The sequence below is a fragment of the Homo sapiens genome, chromosome 1 (assembly GCF_000001405.40).
Source record: "Homo sapiens chromosome 1, GRCh38.p14 Primary Assembly".
Lineage (NCBI taxonomy): Eukaryota > Metazoa > Chordata > Mammalia > Primates > Hominidae > Homo > Homo sapiens.
Window position 1 is genome coordinate 52599289 of NC_000001.11, and position 10475 is coordinate 52609763.

Consider the following 10475-nt stretch of genomic DNA (forward strand, 5'->3'; position numbering starts at 1 on the left):
GGGTTCAAGTGATTCTCCTGCCTCAGCCTCCTGAGTAGCTGGAATTACAGGCATGCACCACCACGCTCGGCTAATTTTGTATAAACATGTGAGCCACCTCGCCCGGCTCATCTATCTGGATTTTAACAGGAAATAGCTTGGCCAAACTTGCAACACTCCAAGTTATATGAAGTAGAATTTGAGAACTCCTGGTTACTGGGACACTCAAGAAGGGGCTGAGTGAAAGGGACAGGTGGCAGGAAGAGAGCCCAATGGTTCCAGAAGGCAGAGAGAGAAGAGACCATTTAATAGCTGTGGGACCCATCACAGGCTTAAGGCTCCCAAAAGAGATGGGGAAGAAGGAGCAGGATGGGCAGGGGCACCTTATGTATGCCTTGGCCCTTGCCTGGAGCGCCGTTTCCTCTGCTCTCCACCTCTCCTGATAATATTGCCTTCTCCTGAAGAGTGAGGCCACCTTGGTGGTGCAGAAAAATCCCATGGTCTACACCTGAAGGCCTGGGTTCGAGTCCTAGTAACTATATGATCTTGTGGCCAGCTTCAAAACCTTTGCTTGCCACACTCTAGAGAGTGACTTGGCACTCAAGGCCCTTCTCTATCCTGATGACCCTTCCAATCTCATCTGCCCCACACCCCTTCTCACCTCAAACAGCCAAGCACTTCTCTGACTCTGTGCTGTCATAGATACTGCTCTTTCAGTCTGACGTTGTTGCCCTGACCCTCCTAGAGAATTCCCATTCCTCTTTCAAGATATAACTCCAGTATCACCTCACACCTCCAGAAGGCCTTGCCTGGCTGCTCAGGCTAGGTAGCAACTGCCTCTGGGTCTCTAGGAGGTAGCCCTGGAGCTACGTCAACTCCAACATCTAGACCACATCTGCTCTTGCCCTTTCCTATCAACTCCACAGAACAGCCAGAAGGATTTTTTTTTTGAGATAGTGTCTGTGTCACCCAGGTTGGAGTGCAGTGGTATGATCATAGCTCACTGCAACCTTGAACTCCTGGGCTCAAGCAATCCTCCTGCCTCAGCCTCCTAAATAGCTAGAACCACAGGCACATGCTACCACACGAGGCTAATTTTTAATTTTTATTTTTTTAGATGGAGTCTCGCTCTATCACCCAGGCTGGAGTACAGTGGCACAATCTCTGCTCACTGCAACCTCTGCCTCCCGGGTTCAAGTGATTCTCCTGCCTCAGCCTCCCAAGTAGCTGGGACTACAGGCGTGTGCCACCACACCTGGCTAATTTTTTGTATTTTTAGTAGAGATGGGGTTTCACTGCATTAACCAGGATGGTCTCGTTCTCCTGACCTTGCGATCTGCCTGCCTAGGCCTCCCAAAGTGCTGGGATTACAGGCGTAAGCCATCGCGCCTGGCCTAATTTTTTAATTTTTTGAAGAGACAGTTCTTGCTAGGTTGCCCAGGCTGGTCTTGAACGCCTGGCCTCAAGCAATCCTCCAGTCTTGGCTTCCCAAAGTATTGGGATTACAGGTGTGAGCCACCGGGCCCTGTCGAAAGAGATCTTTCTACAACAAAAGACTCATTGTGATACCTCCCTGCTAAAAAGAACCTTCATTTCTTGGTTTAAAGACCACAGTCCCTACTGTGGCCTACTAGGCTCTGTGTGATCTCACTCCCTCCTGCCTCTCCACCTTTCCCTCTCATCCTTTGTCCTCTCTGTTCCAACCAAATGAGGCTTCTTTGTTACTCAATGCACCATGTTCCTTTCCCCCCAGGACCTTTGCACTTGTATGTTGCTTCATCCTGACCAATTTCTCCTCATTCTTCAGAGCTCAGCTCAAATCTCCCTTTTTCTGGAAAGCCCTCCATGGCCCTCCAGGCTAGTTTAGGTGGTACTCACCACAACAGTAATTTTAGAGCTATTTATAAATTATTTAATTCCTGTGTCTCCCTGGATAGAGATAATGCCCTCCTGTTCATCCCTGCCTAAGAATCACCTAAAGCAAAACTTGGCATAGAAAAGGTGCTCAGGAAGTTTTTGTTGATGACCACAGGAGTGCTTAGCCCTTACCACATTACATAAAATCTGCAGTTTACCTGGTTTCTCTCACACCAGTCTGTGAGTTTCCAGAAAAAACTCACAGCCTGTGAGTACAGGATCCAGCTCCATGTTTGACATTTCATGGGCTCAACAGGGGTTTTCTGAGCAGGGGGAGACATTGTGATGTGCTGCCCAGATCCCCCATCACTGAGGACTTAGGACAGACACCAGCTGCTAGGAGTGCTGTTAGCACAAAGCCTTTAATGTCAGCTTCTCCACAGACAGGGCCATCTTGGCCCTTGTTGCCCCACTTGCCAGGTGGCCCCACATCCAAGGACTGATAAAGGCAGGATGACCTGGCCATCTTAGCTCATCTGATGGGCTACTCTAGCTCTAGAGTCCCTGTCGAGTCAGCTAAAACTGTCTTGGGGCCTGCATGGAGCTCACTACTTTCCCCCTGTGCCACTCCTGTTCCCTCCCATCCTTCCCACGCCTGTTGATCCCAAGGGTGCTCCCTCATAAACATCCTGCACTCCAATCTCCATCTCAGAATCTGCTTCCAGGAACCTAACCTGCAACAGGCCCACGGTCCTCTCTTCTTCTCCCAGCCATCACTTTCAGGGAACATGCATTCATTCACCTGAAGTTTGCAGGCACCATTCAACTGTTAAAGTGTTTCGCATCCGTTTTTCTATTACTTCCATCCTATACCGACTAGCTCCACTTAACATGTGGAGAAACTGAGGTCGGAGTGGGGGCGTGACCAGGCCAGCCTAAGGCCGCTGCACTAATGAGAAGCTGAGCTCTCAGATTTTTGCCTCCCTGTCCCTGCCAAGTCGCTGTTTCCTGGGACAAGAGGGAGCCTCACTGAAACGAACTCCGGTCTCAGGGGACAGAATCCTGAAACCCTGGCTCTGGGGTCCGGGGCAGGGGTGCGCTGCCTCAGGACAGACGGTGAAACTGAGGTCCAGAGCCGGACATCCACCGCCTGCGGAGGGAACGAGAACGCGGCGCGTCCTGCCTTGCGGGCCGAGCGGCGCCAGAGCCGCCTCCTCCCGCCCCCCGCGCTAGATCCCCCCGCCCCGTCTTTGCCCTCGCGACGCCGCCACCTCCGGAACAAGCCATGGTGGCGGCGACGGTGGCAGCGGCGTGGCTGCTCCTGTGGGCTGCGGCCTGCGCGCAGCAGGAGCAGGACTTCTACGACTTCAAGGCGGTCAACATCCGGGGCAAACTGGTGTCGCTGGAGAAGTACCGCGGATCGGTGAGTGCGCGGGGTCTGGCGGCGCCGCTGGGCCCGGCCTCGCCCTGGCGGGGCCTGCTGGGGACGCCCCGCAGCCCGGTCCCCCGCGCGGTGTGGCTCCGAGGACGCTCCAGCCGCGCGGCCGCCAAACCCCGGCCCCCGCCCCGCTCGGCCGTGACCTCTGGCGCGGCGCCCCCATCCCGCGCCCGGCCCGGCCCGGCCCGCGGCTACGTGGCACGGCCTTGGCGCGGAGGAACCCGAAGCGCTCGCAGTCGGCGCCCACTTCGCTACCGGCACCTTTGGGCAGCGGGGTCCAGACCTTCGCCGGGAGGCCGGGCACCACTGCCCAGCCTTTGCCATTCACGGGTGAAAAAAGTAACCGTAGCATCGTGCGGCCTTTCCCTCTCCCGTCCTCATTTTCTGCATCTGGAACGGGGAGTGGCTGATTCGGAGTCCAGTGAAGAACACTGTGGAGATCAATGTGCAGGGCAGAGAGAGAGTTATTTCAGATGCACGGAGACCTCACACGGATCATCCCTGGGAGAGGGCACAAAGGCCCAGAGAGGGCAGGCATTCGCACAAGGTCACACTACACTAGAAAGACGGGGCCTGGAAGAGAACCCCACCGCCACATCCGGGGTCCTCTCTAGGCCAAGTCCTTAGATGGCAGCTCAGGGGCACACATAAGAGTCATCCAGGCTAATTGCCCCCTCATTACCAAGAGGGAATCTAAGCTCAGAGAAGACTTCGGAGAGGAAGGGTATCTGGGTTGAGTCTTTGAATACGAGTGGATTTTAGCAAGACTAAGAAGCAAACAGCAAGAAGGGGGTGGGGGGGCGCGGGGCCAGGAGTTCCAGCTGTTGTGCTTCAAAGAGTCTAAAGCTGGAGGCTACGAGTGGTGGAAGATGAGGCTGAAACGACTGGCAAGGGAGCAGGCGGGACCTTGAACACTACATTGAGAGGCCTGCATGTCACATTATGTGCAGTGAAGAACTCCCAGAGTGGACCTCTTCAGGATGGACCTGGGGACTGGTGTGAAATGGCTGGGGAGTTGAAATCTAATGAACAGGTGGGCCAGCGTCCAGTTTTGGATGAACCACACAAAAATAGATGTCAACATTTTTCTCCTGGGAGCAACACCATCTTTAGTGAAGACCAGTACTCTATAAGCCTTGAAATTTTCGATTATGCTGGGAGTCTTGGGGACAGTAATCCCTGCTTGATTGTCCCCCAGAGTGTCGTGAGTTTCAAATCAGATGAAGGCGTGGATGCACTTAGTAAACTGTAGAGTGCTTTGCACCTGTGTTTGGTGGATCCCAGCAGGAACTTCATTTAGAACTCTGGGCAAAGAACCAAGAACAGGGCCCGCTCCAATTCAGGCCTCCTGTTCTCTCTAGGGCAGCTCACCAGAGAGCCCCAGGTTTAGCGTCTGACCAGCTCTGCTACTTATTAATTCGTTGTTCATTATTGAACACCTACTGTATACTAACTAGATACTAGGTCAGGCCCTGGGGATACAGTGGTGAACAAAACAGATACATTTCCACTAAATGGAGCTTACATGGGGTAAGGAGAAGAAAGACAATAAACAAGGAACTGAGAAATGCACGAGGTAATTCCTAGTAGTAGTAAGTGCTAAGACAAAAATAGAACAAGGTCACACAGCTAGTAAGACAGTAAGAATTTGAACCCAGACAGTCCAGCTCCAGAGTCTATGCTCTTAGTTGCCAAGTTCAGCAGTAAACCAGGGAACAGGGAGTCCAGAAAAGCTGTAATTGGTGCTGAGTTAACCCAGGCTAGGCTTGCTGCTTGGGCAATATGCTCATTCCTTCACCTGCAAACATTTACTGGCTCCTACTACATGTCTGACACTGGGTCCAGCTCTGATGACATAGTCATGAGCAAGATTGACATGGTTGATGCCCTCAGGCTAATTGGGACCATAGTCATTTAGACCAGTATGGATGAATGGGTGACCACTTGGGAATGTGTGGGGTTATGTGTAGTGTGTGCCTTTGTGAATGGTTTACTTCTTCTGTGTACAAATCTGAGTCTGTGTCTGTGCTTGTATATGTACATATGTAAATTAACTGTGTGTACTTGGGTGTGTCTGTCTGTGTTTTGGTTTCTAAGGACCAAGCTTTTTGGTTTCAGGGATGGAACTAGAAGCCAGATTTTCCCCCTTCCAAAAGAGCGGGCAGACATGCAAGTTGTGAGTTAAAAATAAGCAAGCTTTGGCCGGACGCAGTGGCTCACGCCTGTAATCCCAGCACTTCAGGAGGCTGAGGCGGGTGGATCACAAGGTGAGGAGTTCGAGGCTAGCCTGGCCAACATGGTGAAACTCCGTCTGTACTTAAAAAATACAAAAATTAGCTGGGCATGGTGGCGTGTGCCTGTAATCCCAGCTACTCAGGAGGCTGAGGCAGGAGAATTGCTTGAACCCGGGAGGTGGAGGTTGCAGTGAGCCAAGATCGCGCCACTGCACTCCAGCCTTGGTAACAGAGCAAGACTCTGTCTTTAAAAAAAAAAAAAAAAAAAAAAAAGCTTTAATGTTCTCATTGCCCAGGGATCCAGCAGGGGGAAAAAAAGGAAGAACCCTAACTGAGGAAGGGAGTTAACAGTCCCAGTTTCTCACCATTCCAGGCACAGTATGGTGTATGCTGACCTCAAATTGAGGAGGTTGTTCTAATAGCCAGTGGCCCCAGGCATGGGTCCTTTCTCACCTGGTGGAGGTAGGGTACAGGAGGTACAGCTCAGTGGTTCAATCATCTAGCCCAGTAGTTCTCAACTAGGAGTGATTATTCCCTTTAGGGCACAATTGGCAATGTCTGGAGACATTGTTGATTGTCAAGACTGGGCATCTAGTGGGTAGAGGCCAGGGATGCTGCCAAACATCTGATAATAAATAAACAGGACATCCCCCCGACAACAAAGAATTATCTGACCCAAATGTCAATTATGGAGGATAGGGCTAGGCTGCCTAGGCACCGGCTAGGGTTTTAAATCCATTAATAATATATACCTAGAAGCTAAAAACATAGCATTTGAGCCAAAATTCTAATCAAAGTCTTATAATCAAGTTCCATTAGCCAGCTTTGTATTTATTGCCTAAAGGCTTTAATAAATTTAAGGATTAGTCTAATGATAAAAGAAAGTGGTAGGCTGGGCATGGTGGTTCATGACTGTAATCCTAGCACTTTGAGAGGCTTAGCTGGTAGGATTGCCTGAGGCTAAGAGTTTTTGAGTCCAGCCTGGACAACATGGCGAGAACTGTCTCTACCAAAAGTAAAAATTAAAAAATTAGCCAGGTGTGATGGCACGTGCCTGTAGTCCTAGCTATTTGAGAGGCTGAGGTGGGAGGATCACTTCAGCTCAGAAGTTTGAGACTGCAAACGGTTGGGGGGATGTCCTGTTATGATTATGCCATTGCTCCAGCAGCAACAACAACAAAAGTGGTGTTAGTTCTCTGGAGAGGAGGGGGACAAAAAGGTGATTGCCCTGGAGTTATGAGGGTTCTTTTCTCAAGAAAACCTGTGTCTATGTTCCCATGCAGGCGTTTGTGTTTGTGTGCACACTTACTCATTCATCTGAAACTTACTGAGACTTTTTCATATGCCAGGCCCAGAGATGAAGTGGACATAGCTCCTGCCCTCAGTAGGTTCACATTCTAGAAGGGAGACTGACACAGTGCAGAGTGGCGAGTGCTAGCTGACTGAGCCAAAAATTGAGCCCAGGTCTCCCTTTGTACCCCCTCTTATCAGTTCTCAGTATGTGCTCACCAGTATGTGTGCCCCAGTCTGTGGATGTGCTGTGTGTGTGGGCATGTGTGGTGTTTGCTAACATGTTTGTATCGTGGTGCATGTGCATACCTATTTATGTATGTTGTATACTTATGTTCACAGATGTTCATGTATGTGTGCACACATCTGTAAGCTCCTGAATGTTTGATTTCATATGTGCCTGTCTGTGTGCATGTGTTTGTGTATGTGTGAGAGCACTGGACACACATTTACATATGTGTACACAGTGTTCTTGTATGTGTGAGGCAGTATTAACTGTTGAGGGAGTCACATATGTGGATGTGTCAGGGCATGTACAGGTTCATGCCTCTTCACTGGCTTGTCTGGGCTTTGTTTTGTTTTGTTTCTGTCATACAGGTGTCCCTGGTGGTGAATGTGGCCAGCGAGTGCGGCTTCACAGACCAGCACTACCGAGCCCTGCAGCAGCTGCAGCGAGACCTGGGCCCCCACCACTTTAACGTGCTCGCCTTCCCCTGCAACCAGTTTGGCCAACAGGAGCCTGACAGCAACAAGGAGATTGAGAGCTTTGCCCGCCGCACCTACAGTGTCTCATTCCCCATGTTTAGCAAGATTGCAGTCACCGGTACTGGTGCCCATCCTGCCTTCAAGTACCTGGCCCGTAAGTCCTGGTCTCTTCATCCCCTCACACCTCCCTTAGCTGGCTGAGGCCATGGCTCCCTGGGCAGCAGAAGCCACTGGCTGGTTGGGTGACCTGGGGCCCCTTCCCCTTCCTGATCATCTCAGGTGGACTGATGCTTTGTTCCAGCACTAATCTTTGAGGAGAGTGGAGGCAGGTAGAAGCTGAGGGGTATTCCTGCCTAAGAATATCTCCATACCTGCTGCCTCTCACTTGTCCCTCAGAAGTCACTCTTTTGGACTTTTCTGGGATCCTGTTTTCACATTCAGGGGCTCCTAGAAGGAGACATTTAAGTCAGTGTGAACTAGATGAGTTTATGGACATATGATGGAGAAACCAAGGCATAGACAGGGGAGGCCACCTGCTTGGAGAAAGCTGACCAAGATAGTAGACAGGCATCTTCACCCTGAGTCAGTGGCGGAGTCTGTAGGCCATGGAGGGAGACCTTCTAAGCTAAAATACCAGATCTTAGTATTTGAGAACAAGATCCCTTCTCCAGCTGCAGAAGCCTCAGAGCCACAGAATGGGCTCATGGGCTAAGCTTGCCATTCTGACCATTTCTTCCCTCAGGCCTTCTCCTCTGGAGGCCCCATTTTTGCCTTTTCTGATTCCGTGCTTCTGGTGGCCTTTGTATCCCTTGCCACCACCCCACCCTGCAACCCATTCACCTGGAGGAGTAAATGAGAAGCAAGAGTGCAGCAAACAAAAGGTCCCTTACTGCGGCAGGTTTGTGTTTTGCTCTGTGGCTCAGTCCTAATGTTGATTTTTTTCTCTGTGTTCTTTTATTAGTTCCTTCCCAGTTCTCACAGTTATAGATCAAACCCGGCCTTGCTTTTAGAAGCACCTGGGGAGCTCTTAAAAATGCACAAGGCTGAGACCTACTGAAGCAGGGCCCAAGAATCTTTATTTTAAGCACTCCCCTGACCCCCAGTGATTCTGATGAAACCAGTCCATGGACTAACATTTGGAAACCATTAAAACTGAACTAGAGAATAGGGTGTAGACTATTCAGTAGTTCGAAGTCATTAATAAAGGAGGATTTGATACCACTTTATCAAGCACGTCACAGAATCCTACAGCAGTCGTTCTCAACCTCGGCCCCACTTTGGAATCTCCCAGGGGGCTTTTGAAAAATGCTGATGCCTGAGCCTCACCCTCAGAGATTCTGGTTGGAGTGGTCTGGGGTGTGGACTGGGCATCAGGATTAGCTGCCACCAGGGAAAGATGGACACTGAGAGTGAAGTCCCAGGAGAGGGTACGCAGGGTAGCACGCTTTGCTCTCCTTCCTTTTTCTCTAGAGACTTCTGGGAAGGAGCCCACCTGGAACTTCTGGAAGTACCTAGTAGCCCCAGATGGAAAGGTGGTAGGGGCTTGGGACCCAACTGTGTCAGTGGAGGAGGTCAGACCCCAGATCACAGCGCTCGTGAGGAAGCTCATCCTACTGAAGCGAGAAGACTTATAACCACCGCGTCTCCTCCTCCACCACCTCATCCCGCCCACCTGTGTGGGGCTGACCAATGCAAACTCAAATGGTGCTTCAAAGGGAGAGACCCACTGACTCTCCTTCCTTTACTCTTATGCCATTGGTCCCATCATTCTTGTGGGGGAAAAATTCTAGTATTTTGATTATTTGAATCTTACAGCAACAAATAGGAACTCCTGGCCAATGAGAGCTCTTGACCAGTGAATCACCAGCCGATACGAACGTCTTGCCAACAAAAATGTGTGGCAAATAGAAGTATATCAAGCAATAATCTCCCACCCAAGGCTTCTGTAAACTGGGACCAATGATTACCTCATAGGGCTGTTGTGAGGATTAGGATGAAATACCTGTGAAAGTGCCTAGGCAGTGCCAGCCAAATAGGAGGCATTCAATGAACATTTTTTGCATATAAACCAAAAAATAACTTGTTATCAATAAAAACTTGCATCCAACATGAATTTCCAGCCGATGATAATCCAGGCCAAAGGTTTAGTTGTTGTTATTTCCTCTGTATTATTTTCTTCATTACAAAAGAAATGCAAGTTCATTGTAACAATCCAAACAATACCTCACGATATAAAATAAAAATGAAAGTATCCTCCTCATTTTCCATAGTCTCCCTCCCTAGAGGTAAACAGTGTTAGCAGTTTGGTACAAAGGCTGCCAGGCCTTTGGTTAAGCCAATCATTATTGCCCAATAAGAACTCAGTGACCGGGCACGGTAGCTCACGCCTGTCATCCCAGCACTTTGGGAGGCCAACGTAGGTGGATCACCTGAGGTCAAGAGTTTGAGACCAGCCTGGCCAACATGGTGAAAACCCATCTCTACTAAAAATACAAAAATTAGGCTGGGCGCGGTGGCTCACGCTTGTAATCCCAGCACTTTGGGAGGCCAAGGCGGGCGGATCACGAGGTCAGGAGATCGAGACCAACCTCGCTAATACGGTGAAACCCCGTCTCTACTAAAAATACAAAAAATTAGCCGGGCGTGGTGGCGGGCGCTTGTAGTCCCAGCTACTCTGGAGGCTGAGGCAGGAGAATGGTGTGAACCCGGGAGGCGGAGCTTGCAGTGAGCAGAGATCGTGCCACTGCACTCCAGCCTGTGCACTCTAGCCTGGGCGACAGAGCAAGACTCCGTCTCAATAATAATAATAATAATAAAAATAAAAAAATAAAAATACAAAAATTAGCCTGGCATGACCGGGCACAGTGGCTCATGCCTGTAATCCCAGCACTTTGGGAGGCTGAGGCGGGTGGATCACCTGAGGTCAGGAGTTTGAGACCAGCCTGGCCAACATGGTGAAACCCCGTCTCTAC

The 10475-nt window shown here is 50.3% G+C and overlaps 1 protein-coding gene across 3 annotated transcripts; it reads left to right on the forward strand.

The window, feature by feature from the left end:
* The first annotated feature begins 3082 nt into the window (after positions 1-3082).
* GPX7 (glutathione peroxidase 7) lies at positions 3083-9763 on the forward strand. Of its 3 annotated transcripts, none has more exons than XM_047418560.1 (3): positions 3083-4307; positions 7396-7657; positions 8974-9763. In XM_047418560.1, exons 1-3 carry the CDS (start codon positions 4278-4280, stop codon positions 9135-9137), a joined length of 456 nt encoding a protein of 151 aa, XP_047274516.1. In that variant the 5' UTR covers positions 3083-4277; the 3' UTR covers positions 9138-9763. The 3 variants fall into 3 exon arrangements, with proteins under 3 accessions (XP_047274516.1, NP_056511.2, XP_047274520.1); NM_015696.5 differs by having other exon boundaries at positions 3083-3259; XM_047418564.1 differs by lacking the exon at positions 3083-4307 and adding an exon at positions 4332-4850.
* Positions 9764-10475: the final 712 nt, after the last annotated feature.

Bases quoted from the DNA above. Each gene is read 5' to 3' on its own strand.
- GPX7 (NM_015696.5), top strand. From the start codon at position 3,122: ATGGTGGCGGCGACGGTGGCAGCGGCGTGGCTGCTCCTGTGGGCTGCG. The intron at 3,260-7,395 runs GTGAGTGCGCGG...TCTGTCATACAG, and splicing joins TGGAGAAGTACCGCGGATCG to GTGTCCCTGGTGGTGAATGT. The intron at 7,658-8,973 runs GTAAGTCCTGGT...CTTTTTCTCTAG, and splicing joins TGCCTTCAAGTACCTGGCCC to AGACTTCTGGGAAGGAGCCC.